General features: G+C 39.6%; 3 protein-coding genes across 3 annotated transcripts in view, besides 5 other annotated features; 1 reads left to right on the top strand and 2 right to left on the bottom strand.

Annotated features, from left to right (window-relative positions):
* The window catches only part of EIF2S1 (eukaryotic translation initiation factor 2 subunit alpha), a 26,189-nt gene extending 11,684 nt beyond the window's left edge, over positions 1–14,505 (bottom strand). The window contains exons 1-3 of the mRNA NM_004094.5: positions 14,377–14,505; positions 9,825–10,066; positions 286–365 (exon numbers count right to left, since the gene is read on the bottom strand). Of these exons, the coding sequence (NP_004085.1) occupies positions 286–365; positions 9,825–10,065 (321 nt within the window). The 5' untranslated portion in view covers position 10,066; positions 14,377–14,505. The remainder of the gene's footprint in view (positions 1–285; positions 366–9,824; positions 10,067–14,376) is intronic.
* The window catches only part of GPHN (gephyrin), a 1,227,209-nt gene that overhangs the window by 360,523 nt on the left and 844,450 nt on the right, over positions 1–22,236 (bottom strand). The window lies entirely within an intron of this gene.
* Positions 7,587–7,756: an enhancer, noted in NCBI's record as "experimental_36264 CRE fragment used in MPRA reporter constructs". NCBI's record gives its function as "activates a minimal promoter by MPRAs in K562 erythroleukemia cells, with activity observed for both the introgressed and non-introgressed 14:67833879 variant alleles {active_cell/tissue: K562}" and the evidence as "EXISTENCE:reporter gene assay evidence [ECO:0000049][PMID:34662402]".
* Positions 14,250–15,049: an enhancer, noted in NCBI's record as "active region_8578". NCBI's record gives its function as "activates an Ori minimal core promoter by ATAC-STARR-seq in GM12878 lymphoblastoid cells {active_cell/tissue: GM12878}" and the evidence as "EXISTENCE:reporter gene assay evidence [ECO:0000049][PMID:35858748]".
* ATP6V1D (ATPase H+ transporting V1 subunit D) overlaps positions 15,029–22,236 on the top strand; it is a 21,933-nt gene continuing 14,725 nt past the window's right edge. Inside the window, exons 1-2 of the mRNA NM_015994.4 lie at positions 15,029–15,175; positions 21,793–21,910. Of these exons, the coding sequence (NP_057078.1) occupies positions 15,135–15,175; positions 21,793–21,910 (159 nt within the window). The 5' untranslated portion in view covers positions 15,029–15,134. The remainder of the gene's footprint in view (positions 15,176–21,792; positions 21,911–22,236) is intronic.
* Positions 15,070–15,289: an enhancer, noted in NCBI's record as "active region_8577". NCBI's record gives its function as "activates an Ori minimal core promoter by ATAC-STARR-seq in GM12878 lymphoblastoid cells {active_cell/tissue: GM12878}" and the evidence as "EXISTENCE:reporter gene assay evidence [ECO:0000049][PMID:35858748]".
* Positions 15,070–15,918: a biological region, named in NCBI's record as "H3K27ac hESC enhancer GRCh37_chr14:67825632-67826418".
* Positions 15,132–15,918: an enhancer, noted in NCBI's record as "H3K27ac hESC enhancer chr14:67825632-67826418 (GRCh37/hg19 assembly coordinates)". NCBI's record gives its function as "activates a minimal SCP1, AML or CMV promoter by ChIP-STARR-seq in primed H9 embryonic stem cells {active_cell/tissue: H9 hESC(primed)}" and the evidence as "EXISTENCE:reporter gene assay evidence [ECO:0000049][PMID:30033119]".

The following is a 22,236-nucleotide window of genomic DNA, read 5'->3' as shown; positions in this document are numbered from 1 at the left end:
TCAGGGTCTGAGACCAACCTGGACAAAATAGAAAGACCTCATTTCTATTTAAACAAACAAAAAAACCCCGTATTTTATGAGGCATTCCAACTGTAAACAAGTTAAAGCAGTTGAAGTCACCCACAGTTAATTTAACCTAAAACGGCTTCAAAACACTTCTAGTACTAATTTGAGAATATTAGATCATAAGCAATACTTTAAGGTAGTAGCAGTATGAAATTAAGATTTCAAATTATTTATTAAACACACAGATAGTGGACTAATTTGACTCAAAGATCAACTTACAGTTTTGGATTTTGTGAATTTGTCTTCACATTTGATTGCTTCCTCTGGAGAAACTCTTCTTTTTGACAAATCAATATATCCTGTACAAAAAAATTGTGAAAAAATCATCTCTGTCCAGATGCCACTGTACTATTGTAACCAGCTTTGAAGACCAAATTAAGTGTTTGATTGGCATACTTATAATTATTTCCTACTAAAATCCTATCAACAAAATACTGCATAAGTATTACAAGGCTGAGTATCCCTCATCAGAAATGCTTGGGACCAAAAGTGTTTTGGATTTCAGATTTTGGAATATTTGCAATGTATTTACTAGTTAGAGCATCCCGAATCTGAAAATCCAAAATCTGAAATGCTCCAATGAACATTTCCTTTGAGTGTCATGTTGGTGCTCAAAAGTTTCAGATTTTGGAGCATTTTGGATTTGGGGATAAGGGATACTCAATCTGTACAAGATGAGAGATTCTGAATTGTTTTCAGAAATAAATTTTTATTATCAGGTAATTATATATATTCCATTACCTTACTGGAGAGAACTAATAATTTTCAATTATCCAAATGAAAGGTAGTCAAATGCCTATCTTTCCCCTATTTCTTCCTTTTCCTTCTCCAGAATAGGAAAATTCACTAAGATGTTCATTTAGTTTAAGGAAAGAGGCTATCGTCACAGAAGACACACACACACACACACACACACACACACACTGAACAAATTAAAACTATCTAATCTACTGTATGACTACCATATACAAGTAACTATGTTAGGTGCTTAAACATCTTCTTGAACCCTCACAACAATCCTGCATGGTAGATTATCACTCTCTTTCCCACAGCGCCCCCCAGTCTTTTTAACCTGAAGAAACTAAAACCCATGAAAGGTTAAGTAACTTGTCAACGTCAAATAGCCAAAAATGGCTGAAACCTACAAACCTGTGCCTGGCAATGACTTCCAGTACAATGCTGAGTAACAGTGGTGAGAGTGAATGTCTTGTTCTCAATACTGGAGGACAGCATGTCTGTGGTGTTTTTCTAGACACTCTTTATCAGATTAGGAAATTCCCTTTTAGTTCTTGTTTGCTGACTTATTATGAATGGGTGACAAATTTTGTCAAATGCCCTTTCACATCTATTAAATTGGTTGTAGTTTTCCTCCTATATTCTGTTCATATACACTGATTTTATTTCAGATTCTGAGCATTCTTTTTCATTAAAAATTGTATGACTTACATATAGTAAAATTCACCACTTTTAGTGTTAAGTTCTTTGTGTTTAAAAAAAAGAACAGTCATTTAACCACCACCAAAATCAAGTTCCATCACCCCTGAAGCCACTAAAAACTGGACACAAGTTTCTCTGTGAACATAAATTTTCCTAGAAATGGCACAGCTGGGTTATATATTAAGTACATGTTAATTTTATCTGCCAAACTTTCCCAAAGTGAATGTGGCACTCTGCATTCCCATGAGCAATGTGGAGCAGTTAGAACTGCTCCATGTCTCTCAATTGATTTTTAAAAAGTCAATCTATTGATTGTGCAGTGGCATCTCACTGTGGTTTTTATTTGCATTTTCCTAATGACTAATGATGTTCAACATCTTTTCATGTGCATATTTGCTATCCAATTATCTTCTCTGGCAAAGTGTCTATTCAAAACTTTCGCTCCTTTAAAAATTGATGGTTTAGATACAGGGTTTTTTTGTTTGTTTTTTGTTTTTTTTTTTGAGATGGAGTCTTGCTCTGTCGCCAGGCTGGAGTGCAGTGGGGCAATCTCCGCTCACTGCAACCTCTGCCTCCTGGGTTCAAGTGATTCTCCTGCCTCAGCCTCTTGAGTAGCTGGGACTACAGGCACGCACCACTATGCCCGCTAATTTTTTATATTTTAGTAGAGACGGGGTTTCACCATGTTGGCCAGGATAGTCTCAATCTCCTGACCTCATGATCTGCCCACCTTGGCCTCCCAAAGTGCTGGGATAACAGGCGTGAGCCACCGCTCCCAGCCTAGATACAGGATTTTTTAGGTTGTTCAAGAGTTTTTAAAATATGCTGGTTTGTCTTTTTATTCTCTTTATAGTGTCTTTAAAGAACATAAGTTCTTAATTTTGATAAGGTCCAATTAATCAATTTTTCCTTTCATGGATAACGCTTTTAGTGTGCTATCTAAGAAATCTTTGCCTAATCCAAGGTCAGAAAGATTCCTGTTTTCTTCTAGAGGTACTTAGAAGTTTACATCTATGATTCATTTTAAGCTAACTTTTGTATAAGGTGAGGTGTTTGAATTGAGGTTCTTTTTTGCATATGGACATCCAGTTGTCCCAGCACCATTTGTTAAAAAGATAATTTTTTCTTTGATCAGCTGCCTTTGTACTTTTGTTAATTAACTGATCATATAAAAGCACACATAAATTTTTTAATTTTTTTTTTAAATAAAAAGAAGTGAGAGATAACAAAAGAGGTGAGGTCCTGCTATGTTGCCCAGGCTGGTCTCGAACTCCTGGGCTCAAGTGATCCCCCCACCTAGGCCTCCCAAAGTGCTGAGATTACAGGCCTCAGCCACCATGCCCAGCCAACATAAAGTTATGACTGTTAAACCAAACTGGCATTCCATACACTCCACTTGGTCATGCTTTATTATCCTTTTTATACATTGTTGGATTTGAAAAACATATTAATTGTTTTATCTATGCTAATCACATATTTGGTCAGTAATTTGCTTTTTTACAAAAACATGTCTTTGTTGGGTTTTCTTATCAGGGTTATGATGGCCTCATAAAATTAGTCATGCACTGCATAACATTTCAGTAAACAATAGATTGCATATATAGCAGCAGTGCTGTTAAGATTATAATACTGTATTTTTACTGTATCTTTTCTGTGTTTAGGTACACAAATATTTACCATTGTGTTACAACTACCTAATCAGTATAGTAACATGCTGTACAGGTTTGTAGCCTAGGAATAATAGAGTATACTAAACAACCTATGTGTGTATAGGCTATAAGGTCTATGTAAGCAGCACACTCTATGAAATTTGCATGATAAGACATTTTTCAGAATGTATCTTTGTCATTAAGCACCACATGACTGTATTTCGAAAGTGTTCCCGCCTCCTTAACTTTTTTTTTTTTGGTGGGAGACAGTCTTGCTCTGTTGCTCAGGCTGTAATACAGCAGTGTGATCACAGCTCACTACAGCCTCAAACTCCTGGGCTCAAGCCGTCCTCCCACCTCAGCCTCCCAAGTAGCTGGAACTACTTTACAGGTACACACCACCACACCCAGCTAATTTTTTAAAATTTTTATAGAGATGGGGTCTCCCTATATTGCCAGGCTGGTCTTGAAATCCTGACCTCAAGCGATCCTCCTGTCTCAGCATCCGAAATTGCTGGAATTATAAGTGTGAGCCACCGTGCCTGGCCTACCTCCTTAACTTTCTGAAATTTTATTATGACTCATCTTATTTCTGCCTTAAATGTCTGATACAACTCATCAATTTAACCATCTGGCCTAGAGTTTTCCTTTTTTTTGAGACAGGGTCTTAGTCACCCAGGCTGGAGTGTAGTGGCATGACCTCGGCTTACTGCAGACTTGTTCTCCTGGCCTCAAGCAATCCTCCAACCTCAGCTTCTCTAGTAGCTGGAACTGACTAGAGGTGCACAACACCATGCCTGGGTAATTTTTCTACTTTCTGTAGAGATGAGGTTTCGTCATGTTTCCAGGCTGGTCTTGAACTCCTGGGCTCAAGCAATCTGCCCACCTCAACCTCCCAAAGTGCTGGAATTACAGACATGAACCACTGTGCTGGTCAGGACCGAATTTTCTTGATGAAAAGATTTTTTACAATAAATTCAATTTCTCTAACATATAGGACACTCAAAATTTCTATTTTATATTGGTCAGTTTCAGTAAGTAAAATTTTGCAAGGAATTCACTAATTTCACCTGATTTGTTGAGATGATTGGCATAAAATTGGTAATGATATTCCCTTATTAGCCTTTTAATGTCTGTAGCATCTGCAGTGATAGCCCCATTCTCATTCCAGATTGGTAATTTGTGTTATTTCCTTTTCTTCATCAGCCTAACTAGGGGTTTATCAATTTTGCTCTTTTTTAAAAAAACAAAAAACAAGTTTTTAACTTTGATACTGTTCTCTGATTTTCTGGTACTCTATTTTCACCGATTATCTTATCCTTATTATTTCTTTTCTTCTACTTACTTTGTGTTGGGAGAAAGCCCCCTAAAATCTAGCCATAAACTGGCCCCAAGACTGGCCATAAACAAAATCTCTGCAGCACTGCGACATGTCCATAATGGTCCTAACGCCCAAGCTGGAAGGTTGTGGGTTTACAGGAATGAGGGCAAGGAACACCTGGCCCGCCCAGGGCAGAAAACTGCTTAAAGGCATTCTTAAGCCACAAACAAAAGCATGAGTGATCTGTGTCTTAAGGACGTGTTCCTGCTGCAATTAATTCGGCCCATCCCTTCATTTCCCATAAGGGATACTTTTAGTTAATTTAGTATCTATAGAAACAATGCTAATGACTGGTTTGCTGTTAATAAATATGTGGGTAAATCTCTGTTCGGGGCTCTCAGCTCTGAAGGCTGTGAGACCCCTGATTTCCCACTTCACACCCCTATATTTGTGTGTGTGTGTCTTTAATTCCTCTAGCGCCTCTGGGTTAGGGTCTCCCCAACAGAGCTGGTCTCAGCAACTTTGAGTTTACCTTTCCTTTCTTTTATCTTCTAAAACAAAAGCCTAGATAACTGTTTTAGATCTTTATTCTTTTCTAATATAAGTAATTAAAGCTATAAATTTTCCCTTAAGGCTTTAATATATGAATTATTTGGAAGGGCTTATTTAATACTGCAAACTCTTCCCTCCCAAGATATGACACTGATTTCAAAATTACTTCCAGTGTGATCAGAGAACATATTTGTATTCCAACCCTTAGAAATTTATTTAGAGTTGTATTAATATTATAGCTCACCTTATTGTCTATCTTGGTGAATGTCATGCACACTTGAAAATAATGTGTATTTTGCCTTTTCTGGGTGCAGTGTTCTAGGTATCAAACAAGTCAAGGTCTTCATTGATCTAATTGTTTCTCCAATTGTTCAGAGCTTGTTCAAACTTCCAACTATGATTATAGATTTGTCTATTTCTCTCTTGAATTCAATTTCTGCTTTATATTTTGAACTCTATTATTAGGCACATACACAGTGATGACTGTTGTTTTCCTTCTAACAAATTGACCCTTTATCATTACAAAATGTCCCTGTTTAAATCTGAAAATACTATGTCTTTAAATCTACTTTATCTAATATTAATAGACACTGTCTCCTTAAGGTATTGTCTGCATAGCATATCTTTTTATATCCATTTATTTTCAACCAAGTATATCTCTTGTAGACAGGATTATCGTCGAGTCTTGCTTTTTAATTCATCCTAACAATCTCTGCCTTTTAGCTGGAATATTTACTTGATTTACATTTAATTACTGATATAAATGAATTCAGTTGTATCAATAACTGAATAATTGAATACCTACATTTTAGGTATTTGTTTTCTATTTGTTCTTTCTGGTTTTTGTTTTTTTCTTTTGAGTTTTCTTTTAGGTTAATGTTTTCTAGAATTCCATTTTAATATATCTTTGGCTTTTACAATAGTGTATTTTGTATTTTACTTACTTATTTCTAGAGATAGTTTCACTATGTTGCCCAGGCTGGTCTTGAACTACTGACCTCAAGTGACTCTCCCACCTCAGCCTCCCGAACAGCTGTGACTACAAGCACAGACCACTGCAACTGGCTTATTTAATGGTTGTTCTAGAATTTACAATATACATCCTTAACCTTTTAATTTTACTACTGCACATAAAATGTAAGAATCGTTAAGAATCATATAGATCTATTTACCCCACACCTCCTGGCCTTTGTGATTAAGTTGTCAAGTGTACTAAGCCTGCTTTAAACAGTATTCTGTTTTCTTAGCTTCTATATTTAACTACTTGGCATCCATTAATCACAGAGCCAACTGTATTAACTATATATTTTATTATTAATATTATTAGTAGTAACTAAATATTTTCTTATTTTCTGTATTCTTGAGGCTCTGACATTTGTGGAGAGACTGCCCCTCCGTCAGGTGGGGAGGAGTCAGCAAAGGGCTTGCTTGGTAGCATGCCTTTCTTATGCAGAGCAGCCAATCTGGAGCCCATAAACTCATACACCAAGCCAAAATTCTCCCTGCTGTAAGTCAAGGGCCAGGTATTAGACAAGCAGGGCAGTCTTTATGCCCCAAGGCCCGCCAAAAGCATTCAAACTAGCCAACTGCAAGCCGTTTACGCTGCTCTGCCTTGCTTTTCCTGCAGAAACTCCAACAAAAGCTCTGACCTACTTTTTCCCCTAGTTCCTTGTGACTCCTGACTAAAACTGGTGCTTCCCCATGTGGCCCTGCATGGCACATCAAGCCCCCTTCTCTCAGGCAATATAAGTAGTAAAAGTTTTCTTTCAAGGGCATTGGACTGTGTCATCACTCAGTCACCTCTATAGATTACAATCCCACAGGCACAAATGAGACAAATAGTTAAATATATTTTTAAAGAAACTAAGAAGGGCAAAAATAGTCTTTTACATTTACCTATATATTTTCCATGTCAGGTCATCACATCTCTTCAGCTTAAAGAACTTCCTTCACCTCTCTCTTTTTTTTTTTTGAGACAAGGTCTGGTTCTATCACCCAGGTTGGAGTGCAGCGGTGCAATCTTGGCTCACTGCAGCCTCCGCCTCCTGGGCTCAAACCATCCCCCTACCTCAGCCGCCCGAGAAGCTGGGACTACAGGGTGCACCACCACGCCCAGCTAATTTTTGTATTTTTTGTAGAGATGAGGTTTTGCCATGTTGCCCCAGCTGGTCTTGAATTTGTGAGTTCACGCAACGTGCCCACCGTGTTCCATTCCATGCACCGTATTTATGAGAATGCTGACCAAGTGTAGAACACTTAGCACAAAGTGACCTGGATGGGGTGGGGCGTGGTGGCTCACGCCTGTAATCCCAGCACTTTGGGAGGCCAAGGCGGGTGGATCACAAGGTCAGGAGATCAAGACCATTCTGGCCAACATGGTGAAACCCTGTCTCTACCAAAAATACAAAAATTAGCTGGGCATGGTGGTGTGTGCCTGTAATCCCAGCTACTCTGGAGGCTGAGACAGGAGAATTGCTTGAACCAGGGAGTCGGAGGTTGCAGTGAGCCAAGATCGTGCCACTGCACTCCAGCCTGGCGACAGAGTGAGACTCCATCCCCCAAAAAAAGAGAATATAGATTTTTTGTTTTAGCAGGCAGTCAGAATCTGAACTCAAAACTATAAGCTCTGTCTCCCCAGATGGTAAGCAACTGAAATCTGTTCAGATTTTTCCCCTATTAGGCTACCTGGAGTCCACCCTGTGTTTCAGTAGTTCAGGGACAAACCAGAGATTTGGGAAGAATTTATATAGACTTAGGGGATCTCCCTTTGTGCCTGCCGCCTCCTTTCTCTAACCCTCACCACTATCACCACCAGTTTCCATCTACTATGGTTGTCTACAACTCTCGCCTCCAGTTCTAAAGCCAATAAGACCATAAATTTTCTGCTAGAACCTTAGCTGCCTGGCTTGAAGCTGTCTTCAGCATGTACTTAGGTCAAAAAAAAAGGTGTAAAACAGAAAACATACCCTTTCTTATAAGTGTCGACTCACCTTCAAATTTTCAATTTTGGCCTGCTTTTGGCTGCTTCTCATTGTCTTTAGGTAGTTATTTTTCATACTTGTTCAGGGTTTATGGCATTTACGTTGAAAGGCTTGTCTAGGAGGACATAATTCTCTAGTATCAAAATGAATCCTCTCTACAGGCTCTTTTGCACTTTGCTTTTTCTCATCCTATCCTGGAGATCTTCCATATCAAAATATTCAGATCTCATTCTGCATAAAATTGCATTGCACGCATTTGTACTGATTTATTTAACCAGTCCCCATTTTGGTCATTTCCTGGTTTTAGTTAATGCCATACAAACAAATGCTATGGAAATATCTTTACATGTATCTACTGTACGTAAGCAAGTATGCCATTCCATATTTTTTCTGATTGCAACTAAAAACATATTTGATTCCTCCTTTTGTGTATATTTTATACAATAGAAAAAGAAGGCTGAGCACAGTGGCTCACACCTGTAATCCCAGTACTTTGTGAGGCCAAGGCAGGAGAATCGCTTGAGCCCAGTTCAAGACTAGCCTGGGCAACACAGCAAGACCCCATCTCTACAAAGAAAGTTAGCTGGGCAGGGTGGCACATGCCTGTAGTTCCAGCTACTTGGGAGGACTGCTTGAGGAACACTTGAACACAGGAGTTCAAGGCTGCAGCGACCTATGATCATACCACTACACTGCAGCCTGGGTGACAGAGCAAGACCCCAATTCTTAAAAAAAAAAAAAAAAAGTACAAGATTAGACACTACTTTAGGTACTACTAGGACAGTGATGTGAAGACTTACCTAAGTTTAACAAATAGTCTCAAAGTAGTTTAATAATTTTGGGCGGGGCTATAGCTAAGTCATAGCAAAACATTTAAAACAATCCATGTGCTAAGTAGCAGTCACTACCTAAGGCATAAGACATCCTCAAAATCTATGTATCATCTAAGGCTATAATAAAAAAAATTAAAATGTCAGTATGTATAAAATTAATCACTTGCAGAAGTGAGAAAGTATCAGTAAACCAGACGGCTGAGGAGATTCAGAAGGGTAAGTTGAATCAAGGTGACTGATATGAAGCCTTTCGGACATGATGGTAACTAATGACCTAAAACTAACACCTAACAAATTATAGTAAGATGGCTGAAACTAAAACCTACGTAATGGTATTGTACACCATGTTTAAAAAAAGAGTATTCACAAAGGTGATGATTTACATGGGGCCCAGAAAAGGCATCCAATAAGTAAAAAATGAATGCTCATCCAAAACTGTCTGAAAGATACCACGAGATCTGGTAGATGCAAACATTCTAATTACCAGCAAGATATACAATGTTGGATTTCAGGTGTGTATATACACGCATAGTATATTGCTTTTTCAAAGCTTATATAAAAGATCCCTAAAATCCATTTGCCCCATTTTCATGCTTACCCAGTGATCTCATTACTATTTTAGCTTTAAATCAAGAAAAAGGCATCCAACATATTCAGGCCTACCAATGTAAATGAACTAGTACTCTGACTTACCTGTCTCTAAGTTTGGTTACCATGAGTCAATTATCAAGATCCTGATAAACACTAGAAATAAAATTCAAGTTATCTGATCCATAAAATCCTAGGATGTACTAATTAAACTACTATTAAGAGATCTTGCTTAGATAGCTAATTGGCATCCTTTTCTAACAACTTTGTATGTAAAAGGTTTAAGTATAAAAGGAGCTTTTTTTTTTAAGCTGCAGCTTGCAATTTACAAAAAATGTATTTTTAAATAAACCATTTTAAATCTGAAATTTATATTACAGATATTTTTCTCACTTACCTTTTTCTTTGTCCACCCTAATGACAACCACACACTCATTCCTGCCAATTCGGATGAGTTTGTTGATAGAACGGATACGCCTTCTGGATAATTCACTAAGAAGAATCATGCCTTCAATGTTGTTGTATTCCAGCAAGCTGACATAAGCCCCCATTTCAGCAATGGATCTGACATTCACCATCACTACATCTTCCACCTCAGGAAATTTGTGTTGATAAAATCTACAACTTAGACCCGGCATTCTGCAATTTAAACAAAAGAATTAAGTAAGTATTCAGTTAAGGTGAAAATAAAAAAAAAATCAATTTCCACATCCTGCCACTGAAAGAAAAGATGAAGAAAAAAATAGTTATTAGTCTTAGTCTTCTCATCCTTTGAAACTTCTTAAGTGGTACCAGAAAACAGATAATGTTCAGGAACCAAGCTTTAATTTTTATTTTGCTCAACATTTTTGTAATGCTTGGGTGATTCTCTGCCTTTAGTTTCAGAGGAATCATAAAAAATAATGACCATCTATAAAGTACTCCAAGACCTAAGGATTAAAGGAATACCTCAAGAGTAAAATACTACTTTAAGGCATATCAAATGATGGGAAGCATCACTATTATAACTAATCAGAAAACTAAAGCTACTCTTTGCCGAAGTGAGCAAACATTGTATACGCTACCACTCACTATATAAAGGAAAAAATTTTCTACCTAAACCCTAACCAATATACCAAATGATACATTCTGTCATTTATTATAGCCAAAATTACAGTGTCACATGTCAAAACAACAAAAACTAAAAAAATTTTAATCACAAAATAAACTAAAATGCATCCTCCTCTCATAATTCTTTTTCCTTGAATTCACAATGTCTAGCTTCTCTTATCCCCAATACTCCCAAATATTCCTTTCTTTTATTGAATAGGTATACCTAATCTTGAGAATAGCTTTAATCTCCATTACTACAAAGTTCAAGTTTCTCTTAACCTCCAAGCATTAAAGATATTTACAATTATTCCCTTTGATCCACCCAACCTACTTTCAGCACTACTCCTTTTATGATCCACAAGCCTGAAATCATAGCCTGGGTAGAAGCATATTTAAAAAAGGAAGCTCTCAAACTAATCATGGCTGATGATTTTCATGTTTTTCTGTTAACCTTCACTGTTGTCACTGCTCAAAACGTAGGTAGTAACAGAACTTAAAGGCCTAAGAAAACCTTGTGAAAATTCATATAATAACTTATTAATTGGCACCTGCCTATATCTTCTCAGTGGCTTCCCACTGACTTATGTATCTTTCCACTACCTACAGAATCCTATATGATCTGGCCATTGCCTATCTCCTTGTGGTACAACTTTCTCCCTAGTTCTCCCCATTTTATAGATTAAAAAACTGAAGCACAGGTTAAGTTACTTGTTCTTTCACATACTGCTAACAGGTGATGAGTCAGGATTTGAATCCATGAAGTCTGGATCCAGAGTCTGTCCTCTTATCAGTAAGACTATATTCTCTCAAAACTATTCATAAATATATTATAATTAGAAACATTTTACTTAAAAAGCAACATTAATATATATTCAGTGCCAGAGTACATAACACCAATAAGTGCAAACTATTAGTACTCATCTGTTTGACAACAAAGAGCAGCATATTAATGACAGTAGCAGAGATGTATTTCTTTGTAGGGAATACAAAATCCCTACAAAATAGGGATTTAGCAAATAAAGAGAAGTAGACATTCAATGGCCTTACCCACCAAGAAACAGCTGACTGTTTGTTTCGTTTTTAAACAGGGCTTTTCGAGGGTGGGGGTGGGGAAACTGTTGTTGAATATGTGTATGTAAAGCTCTCAAATTTGAGAGCTAAAAAGTTTCAAATTGGGCATAAAAATAAACTATGTTACAGAAATGTATGGAACAGTTGCAAGACATTTGACCAGTGAAAACCACATTTACTTACCAAGCTTCTCCAAACAGTAAAGGTGATGCTTTTAGGGGAAGCAAGGCTTAATTTGATGGTTAAAAAACATGGGCAATCATGTAAGAGAATCCTGAAGGGATATGACTATGAATACTATTTCTTCAGGAGGCACAAGTCTCTTTGCAACATAAAGGGTAAGTAAAGGAATACTGTTGATGGTATGTTATTCATAGTAAAGATAGATAGTAGTTAAGTACAAAAAGAATCCATACCACAAAAACCTGCATATTGGTTGACAATTTTTGAACATATTGCCTAATGAAATGCTAATAACTTAAATTTTTTTTTTAACTTAAAAAAATCATTCCGCAATATCGAAGTCACACTAGGTGACTTCACCTCTTTATCTTTTTCACAGCATTCTTATTTTATTTGGTCCTCAAGAAGTGTCAAATCAGGCAATTAACATAGTAAACTCGGGGAACAACTCTAGCCTTGTGTTCCAGTCCTTGCTCTGCTACTTACTAGAAGTGGCTGCTTGGGAAAGATAACATCCTTTGAACTGTAGTTTCTCATCTGTGCCATGTACATCACAGGTTTACTGAGGGTATCACATGTATACGTAAAAACATTTTGAAAACCATTATGTGCTAGTCAAACATAAAATATTGAAAGAAAAAGAAGGTATTTCCATTTTGTAATATAATAATTTGTTAATTTTTTTTTCAGTAGCTACTATGTACTAAGCACTAATGATACAACAAGAAAGACTCTTACCAGGCCAGGCGCAGTGGCTCACACCTGTAATCCCAGCACTTTGGGAGGCCGAGGCGGGTGGATCACTTGAAACCAGGAGTTCGAGGCCAGCCTGGTCAACATGGTGAAACCCCATTTCTACTAAAAATACCAAAATTAGCTGGGTGTGGTGGCAGGCACCTGTAATCCCACTACTATAGTGGCTGAGGCAGGAGAATCCCTTGAACCCAGGGGCAGAGGCTACAGTGAGCTGAGATCGTGCCACTACACTCCAGCCTGGGCAACAGAGACTCTGTCTCAAAAAAAAAAAGAAAAAAGAAAAAAGAAAAAAAAAAAAGACTCTTACCTAAGTAATTAAGTATAGAGTGGGAAACAAACTAGCAAGCAAATAATTACAATACAAAGTACTATGAAAGGGCACAGTGAAGCAATGAACAGGAAAGGTGGAACAGAAATACTAAATTATAATACTTCCTTAAGAACAAATGCTTAATAAGTACTAGCGTAGGAGCTAAACTCAAGTAATCCGACATCAAATCCAGAATGTCTTTAACCCACAGAACCTCAATATCACAACATGCTATAATACTCTTATGTGTTCTGATGTAAAAAGTATCAGCCACCTTTCAAAATATATCAACCAAACTCCAGGCTAATTTCAAATACCCTGCATAGTCAGTTATTTTGCATGACAAATGGTAGGTAGGACTTCTTTCTCAAAACAGTGCATGGTCAAACTGCTATAATGGATATAGAAGTTCACATTCCTTTCCAAAATATATTATGTGATGGGGACAACTCTCGTGATAATTCTAATTTGGATCTAACACGTATTAGGAATGCTCTCTGAATGCTAGTTCTTGGTATAGGAGTGCTACATAAGTAAAGCTTTTATTTCATCATTATAGTTGAAAAAGAAAGTTATCACCGAATCTCTACAAACATTACTGTGCATGAGACAACTACATCTTTTGGCACCAGATGAACTAAGAATAGGTAGCAAAGTTCTGTACAAGTCACCCCCAAACTATTGACAGAGATTGTTCCTTGAATAACAACTCAATTGAGGGGAAATAAAGACTTCTCTGCTATACTTTTTCTCGAAGAAACCATGTTTTTTGCTTAATAAAAATTTAAAAAGCCTAAGTTTTGAGGATAAAGAGACCTCAGCATGACTGTGTATTTAACCCGAAAATATATCCTTATCTTAGGTTTTAGTTATGCTTAACTAACATAGTTAACCTAACATATGCTTAACACAGTTCTATTCTCATTGTCGCCAAAATACGACAAACTGATAGTAACAGTAATAAACTCAAGTCTCATTTAGTTTTGGTTCAAGGGGTGACTCATTCAATTATCAGATGAAAAACTACTCGGACCCCGCTCTTTCCAACACGGTGCCCGTCCCACAGGTTTCTCAGGTAAGAGGCCAGTTTGGTTTCCACTGAGACGCAGGGGAAATTTTTGGTAGAGCTGTTGGGGCGGAAGAAAAGATGGAATTCTCAAGCCTGGAAAAAGCAAAGTGCTCAGCGTCCTGAGCCGGGGTTAAGAGTTACGGTGTCACAGCGTTCTCCTGAGACCGCCCCATCGTCATGGCATTCTCACTTTCGGCATATTGTAGAGGCTGTACAATCCACTCGGCCCACTTTCCTTCACGAGATTCCTCTGCTCGAACAACGATGCCTCTGGAACACAGGATGACCTACACGGAGCCGGCGAGGAGGCCCACGACAGCGCGGGTGGTGGCGGTGCTGTCCAGCCACTTCCCGCGCAGGGACGGGAAAGGGAGGTATTAGCCCGGGGCCTACCCGCTCTCGAACACCCATGTCACTGGACACAAACCAAAGTGAGTTCCTGGAGAAACCGAGCTTGGGATTAGTCACCTGAGGTATGTGTGTGATTCCCGCACTGGAGCCCAGAGCCGACTTCTTCAATCACAGAGACCAGACTTGCTTCCCCCTCACCGGCCGCCGATCCTCCTCAGCGTGCGCTTCGCTCACTCCACCGCGCATGCGGAACCTCCTCGCATGCGCAAGCGCTGAACGAATAGAGGCCCCTCTTCATCATTAACCATAGAGTCTGGGTCCTCCGAGAACAAGGACGAATGTAGATCATGGAAGGACCTGAAAAGTACTGTTTCTCGCTATCTTAGCTTTAGCTAAGTAACCTTCAAGGCGCGAGAAAGACATAGGACTCCGATTCCTTGCCTCTGAAGAATGAATCCTCTTTCAAAGTTTCAGCTAACCATGAGATGGCGCTGTGACCAAAGACGAAAGGTGGAGAAAGACAAGGCGTGCACGCTTCGCTCCTAGTCTTTGGCCTGGCGCGTGCCGCGTATTGCGCAGCCGCAGGGAAGCTGGATGGGGAGGGGTTGGGAGGCGAACCGGAATTGAGGGGTGGTTCCGCGGTGCGCGCGCCTCGACATCCGGGCAACGCCTCTGTTCTGTCCTCCCCCTTCGTCGCCTGTGACAACCGGAAGCGGAAGTGAAAATGGGTGTCCCTGCTGCCTCTTAGCAACAAGAGGGGTCAAGTGACACAACCAGCTGACTCCCGTAGAGGAAGACACTGTGGAGGCCAGTTCTGGAGCTATTGCAGCCTCGGTTGCCCGGCCGGGGACCCGAGCCGAAAAGTTATCGTCAGAATGTCGGGCAAAGACCGAATTGAAATCTTTCCCTCGCGAATGTAAGTAAAGGAATGGGATAAGCCGCTTTCACAGGTTTAGGAACCCGGAGCGCGGTCCCTTCAGACCCTGGGCCACAGTGAGGGTCCTTGTTTCCTGGGAGGATCCTGAGCTTTTCCCAGGTTCTTTTCTTGAGTCTAGGGCGAGGCTTCCTGACGGCCTCTTCGCGCATTCCTCCTGAGTGAATCAGGCTGGACGAAGCGATCCCAGCCGGTAGGAAAAGGCGCCCGGCCGGCGGGCTTTTGTGGAGGTCTGCTGTCTTTATTCATTAATGGATTCATCCATTCCACATACCCTTATTGAGCCGGGCACTGGATTTATATAACTGAACCGTCGCCACCTCTGCCCTACAGAGCTCACAGTTTACGTAGCCAGACATTCGTCTGGAAAGGCCAAGGAGGTTTTAATAAATGCTCTGAGAAGGGAAGTTTACTGAGGATATAGAAGAGGTCCCTAAGCCAAAGTGGGGATGGAATCGAATCGCCCTAGCATAGCCCTCGGATTCGATCTTGGATCCCCTTACTCATTTTCCAAGATCCCGCCAAATGTCACCTGCTGTGAGAGGATATCCCTGTGTTTCTGAGGCACTGCTTTTGCTCTCTCACCGCTGCACCTTGTTCAGACCTGTGTTAATACCGGTCATCACGCTGTAAAGTAGATATTTGTTTATGTGTCTTTCTCTCCCACTAGACTGTGGGCTCTCTCCAGGATGAAAGAGTGTCTTAATCCATAGAAGGTCCACAAAAAAATATTTCTTGAAAGAACTCATGCTTGGGAATACGCTCAGTTGTGGGCTGCCTTTCTTTTGGGGCCTGAATTCTTTGTCAGGAAAATGGCATATCACTGTAGGTGTTTGGCTAGTTTGTAAGGAAAATTTTGACGTTTTCTCAAATGTGCCTAACAACTTGCTCCCTTTCTCCTCCTCATCCTGTTTATTTTTATTTAGTTTGTTGTTTGTTTGTTTTAATAAGAGACAGGGTCTCCCAGGCTGGGGTGCAGTGGTATGATCAGAGCTCACAGCAGCCTCAAACCCCTGGGCTCAAGTGATCCTCCGGCCTCAGCCTCCCTGGCGGCTGAGATTATAGATGGGAGCCACCGCGCCTGGCTTTCCCTTTTTCTTTTCAGTGAGGAAGCAGAAAATCAGTTTTGACCCTGACATTTAGACCCTTTTATTGTGGTCCTATCTCTGTGGGGGTGTTTTGTTGTTTTTCCTCATTCTGTCCTTTGAGAGAATCTGAGGATGCTTAAAATAAAAGTTATATTCAAACCTGAAGCCCAGATTTCTTTCTGCCCGGTGACTAAATAGCTCTTAATGAAATGAAGTTTTTAAATTTTTTACCTTCACCTGTTGACTTTCTAATAGCTGTTTGCACTAAGTAGGCAGCAAGCTAGTTGTGGGGAAATAAAGATGAGGACTATCCCGAGGTAGTGACAACTGCAGAACTCCTAGGACGTGATGACTCAGTCAAAACTTCTGCACTGAAAGACATCGACACTAGTTTATCTTCTAGCAATGTAAGGCCTGCCCCTAGGGTGACCCCAGGCCGCCCCCCGCCGCCCCCGCCATTAAAATGCCTGCCTGAAAAAGCTCAAAGCTAGGGGGAGAATTTACTGTTTGTTCTAGTCAACACCTAATTGATAGACCCCTCTCGTTCCCTTTTTAGAGCATTTACGAAACAGGCTTACAATTGTTAATATGTATCTCTTCCAACTCTGAAGTGTCCCTTCAAGTATCTTTGAGAGCCATTTCTTTGAAACGTAATCATCAGGAGGGATAGGGGCTTTGTCTCCCAGTCTGTGTGAGAGGATAGAATAGTAACTTACTAATTGCCAGGTAGTATGGCGTTTACACTGACCAACACTTTAAGGTTTCTCTTCTCTGACTCTTCTTGCGGCTGGCTCCCTGCCACTCCCTTACTCTCTTTTTTAAAATGGCCAGTCACCTCTGCACAAATGAGAATTGAGCTCAGCCCTTTCCCCTACTATCAGTGGTTTACTGAATAAAATCTGTTTTCACTACTTTAACGAATGTCTGGCTGGGTTTATCTTTGACAGCAGTCAGAATAACTTTTTTGTTTTTACTTTGAAACTTTTACTTTGAGACTAAGAGGCAAAAATAGACATCTTTGGGCTTAGGTAAGAAAATGATAGGCTCATGAAGGTGAAACTACTATTTGAAAGCTCTCAGCTTGCTGATTGAGAGGAAAATCAGGTGCAGGAAATAATCTCTTCTCTAAATATTTTCCCCATGGCTGGCAGCAGGCTTTTTGTCATGTAGTCAGATGTCTTTGATTCAGCTGGAAGAAAAGTCATCATCCTAGCTAAAGGTCAAACTTTTTGAGTAGGACTGAGCAGCTCTGAAACATGTAAAGGAGCAAGTTTTAAAAGCCATAGGCTAGAAAATATACTGGCAGCTTGTTTCACAGACATTTCCATTCAACAGTATTATTCTGTGATGTTACTTTCACCCACTTTCGTACCAGAGAAAGCAAAAACAATTGTAGAGTGGAAGTAAAAGACGCATGAAAAATTTGGAGTCAACAGAAGTCCACTAAATCCAGGTTCTGCTACATATTAGCTGTAAGTGTGCACGCTGCTCTTAGAGTTTCAGGAATTAAAATTGCCCATTTCACAAAGATGCCATTCCCTAGGAGGAAAATAAAATTAACATGGTAAATTCAATTTTATCAACCAGTTTACCTTTTACTATAAACTGGCTGGAATATGCAGTACTACAATTTGACTTAAATTTGATCCAGCTCTTTGAGCCCAAGTTCTAGTATTTACTATCAACAATACATTATGTTAAATGCACACATTGAGATGGATAGCTCCTTCTCAGGCTGGAAACTAAACGACCTTCACTTGATAAGACCTCTTGTGAGACCAGTCAGTGCAGAGTCAGCCAGTGATAATTGTTCTCTTTAAGGGGAGGCACATGTTTGGGGTACAGTGAACGTAGGTTGGAGCCTTAGTTTGAGCATTGGGAAAGTCAGTGGAATCAAAAGTCTGGTTCAAGTCCCTGCCCTGCCTTTTCTTCACTGAGTAACTTTGAGAAAGTTGTTTTACTTTTCTAAGCCTCATTTTTCTAATCTTTAAGTTAATGTCTAAAGTCCCTTTCAGCTATAGAATTGTCTTAGTGATCTTAGCCCTATGGTAAAAGATTCCAGTATAATTTAAGAATTTGGCCAAATGGTGTTTGTTTGTTTTTGTTTTTTTTTTTTTGTTTTTGTTTTTTTGAGGCAGGTTTTCCCTCTGTTGCCCAGGCTGGAGTGCAGTGACCCGATCTTGGCTCACTGCAACCTCTGCCTGCCAGGTTCAAGTGATTTTTGTGCCTCAGACTCCTGAGTAGCTGGGACCACAGGGATGCAGCACCATACCCAGCTAATTTTTGTATTTTTTGGTAGAGATGGGGTTTCACTATGTTGGCCAGGGTGGTCTCGAACTCCTGACCTCAAGTTATCCACCTGCCTCGGCCTCCCAAAGTGTTGGTATTACAGGTGTGAGCCACTGCACCTGGCCAAAAAAGTTTATTAGTACATGCGATTTTAAAACACCAGTCATATGAAATTATATCCCCTTAAATCACTGTGTCTAGGTTATACTGTGTCTAGGTTATACAACCTTATTGTTGAATTTTATTACCCAAACACTTGTTTTTTTGAGACCGAGTCTTGCTCTGTTGTCCAGGCTGCAGTGCAGTGGCATGATCACAGCTCACTGCCTCAACCTCCTGGGCTCAATCAGTCCTCTCACCTTAGCCTTCTTTGTATATGGGATTACCGGTGTGCCCTACCATGCCCAGGTAATTTTGATATTTTTTTTTTTTTGTAGAGACAGGGTTTCACCTTGTTTCCCAGGCTGGTCTTGAACTCAAGCAATCTACCCACCTTAGCCTCCCAAAGTGCTGATTATAGACATAAGCCACTGTACCACTTACCTTATTTAGAGCATTCTTCCTAAGGTCCTCCAGGTACTTTTCATTAGCTCTTTTTCCTGCCTGAAATACTCTTTCCCCGGAACTTATAACTGGCTCCTTTGGCTGTTCTAGTCTCTTAAGAGAGGCTGTTCCTGATCACCCAATCTAAAGTGAACACCATGTTTGCTTCTGTCATAATTCCTTATTTTAATTTTATTGTAGCATGTACTACTGCATGGTATGACATTTTATTTCTAGTCTTTTTTTTTTTTTTTTTTTTTTTTTTTTTTTGAGACAGGGTCTTACTTCTACATCCTCGAACTGGGCTCCACTTTTTTCATTATTAAATTGTATCTGGCATATGGCAGCAAGAACAGAAATGTCAGTTTCTGCTTGACTTTGGTATTGGGGCTTCTGATGGGGAAAAAAATTGAAACAAGGAAGTGAGGAGACTTCAGTGTAAATTTAGCTTGTCATTTCTCAGGAATCTTACGTATGTCATTTGTTACCTAGTCTTTTACAAATTAATAAAATGATTGCTGTTAGGATCTTGATTGATGATATCAAAACATGTTAATACCACACTTTTAATAGAAAATGTGGTAAATTATTGTGGTATAAAAAATGCAGGCCAGGTGCGGTGGCTCATGCCTGTAATCCTAGCACTTTGTGAGGCCGAGGTGGGCGGATCACCTGAGGTCAGGAGTTCGAGACCAGCCTGACCAACATGGAGAAACCTGTCTCTACTAAAAATAAAAAATTAGCCAGGCATGGTGACGCATGCCTGTAATCCCAGCTACTCGGGATGCTGAGGCAGGAGAATCGCTTGAACCTGGGAGGCAGAGGTTGCAGTGAGCCGAGATCGCGCCATTGCACTCTAGCCTGGGCAACAAGAGTGAAACTTCACCTCAAAAAATAAAATAAAATGCAAAAGGTACAAAAGAATATAGTAGTAAAAAGTAAATCCATATTTTTCATCCAGTCCCATTTATCAAAGGTAACTCTTGCCAGTTTTTGTGAATCCTTTCTAGAACTATTCTCTGCATCTATATAAGCACATTTTTTCCTTACTTTGCATAAATAAGACTGTTATATAGACAGCACATGCCTATATACCTTCGTCTTTTTTAATGACTGTATATCATTCCATCATAGGTGAACTCTGATGTATTTAGCATTTAGCTTGTTTCTCCCTTTTGCTATTACCATAAGGCTGGAGTACCCATCTTTTAAACCTTGCACGTGTTTTTGTACACATGTGGGAATAAATTTGTAGGATAAATTCCGCAAAGTGGAATTGTTGGTCTTGAAAATAATTGCATTTAAAATTTTGATATATATTAGTGGATAGATTTTTAAATCCTTAATATACCTCCAGTGGAAACTAAAACAAAGATATTATTTTAACTTACAAATCAAATAAGTATTTAAACTATGTTGGCATCATAAAATAAGGCTCCTGATAACATTTATGATGATTTAATAAATATTCCAGATATTGATTATAAAATTGTTTCTGTTGTAAATTAATAAACTTTTCATTTATGGAACACTGATGGTAGAAATCTACATTATTGGAAAACCAGTTGTCTTAGTCCATTTTCTGCTGCTATAACAATACTTGAGACTGGGTAATTTATAAAGAAAAAAATTTATTTGGTTCATGGTTCTGGAGGCTGAGAAGGGTGAGGGCCTTCTTGCTGTGTTATCCCATGGCAGAAGGCGAGGGTGAGAGAGAAAGCAAGAAAGGGTCGAACATGCCTTTTTTTTTTTTTCTAAAGGGACAGGGTCAGGTGCAGTGGTTCATGCCCATAATCCCAGCACTTTGGGAAGCTGAGGCTGGAGGATTTCATGAGACCAGGAGTTAGAGGCTGCAGCAAGCTATGATCATACCACTGCAATCCAGCCTGGGTGACAGAGCAAGACCCCATCTCAAAAAATAAGGAGTCGGGCCGGGCATGGTGGCTCATCCCTGTAATCCCAGTACTTTGGGAGGCTGAAGCAGGCAGATCACTTAAAGTCAAGAGTTCGAGATGAGCCTGGTCAGTATGGTGAAACCCTGTCTCTACTAAAAATACAAAAAAATATAGCTGGGCTTGGTGGCATACGCCTGTAGTTCTAGCTACTTGGGAGGCTGGGGTGGGAGAATTGCTTGAACCTGGGAGGTGGAGGTTGCAATGAGTCGAGATCGCGCCATTGCACTCCAGCCTGGGCCTCACAGTGAGACTCCATCTCAAAAACAACAACAACAACAACAACAAAAGGAGTCTTGCTACTATCTTACCCATGCTGGACTTGAACTCCCAGGCTCAAGGGATCCTCCCACTTACACCTGTAGCTGGGATTACAGGTGTACCCAGATGAACTCACATTTAAAACCAACCCACTCCTGCAATAAGGAACCCAGTCTTACCATAATGACGTTAATCCATTCATGGAGGGCAGATCCCAGATGACCCAGTCATCTCTTGATGGTCCCACCTCCCAACATTGTTGCATTGGAGATTGTTTCCAACACATGAAGATTAGGGACATATTCAAACCATAGCATCAGTTAAACCTGTCAGCTACAAATTCTCTATATAGTCTCACTTTCATCACATCAAAGGATAAAGGATAATTTTAACACTGGTGGGGAGGGTTTTTTTTGTCTTTTAAACAATGAGAATAGATGTCTTAACTTTGTTTATGTTTATATAGGGCACAGACCATCATGAAGGCTCGTTTAAAGGGAGCACAGACAGGTCGAAACCTCCTGAAGAAAAAATCTGATGCCTTAACTCTTCGATTTCGACAGATCCTAAAGAAGATAATAGAGGTAGAATGAACTTTTCTTAGAATAGTATTTATTTTAGAAAAATCCAGCATGGCCCTTGGCATTTTTTTTTTTGTTGTTGTTATTTTAATTAATTTTTTTCTTTCAAAAGTAAAAATACCATTATAAGTTTAACAAGTGTCAAATATCAAATAGTTCATTTAATAAAATCCAAACTCTTTAATCTTGCCTGCAAAGCTCCACTTGATCTGATTGGCCCCCCGCCTGCCTCTCTTACCTTATTTAGAGCATTCTTCCTAAGGTCCTCCAGGTACTTTTCATTAGCTCTTTCTCCTGCCTGAAATACTCTTTCCCCAGAACTTATAACT

The sequence above is a fragment of the Homo sapiens genome, chromosome 14, assembly GCF_000001405.40.
Source record: "Homo sapiens chromosome 14, GRCh38.p14 Primary Assembly".
NCBI classification, from domain to species: Eukaryota; Metazoa; Chordata; class Mammalia; order Primates; family Hominidae; genus Homo; species Homo sapiens.
The sequence above is the reverse complement of the archived record's forward strand: the minus strand, read 5'-3'. Positions and strand labels throughout refer to the sequence as shown.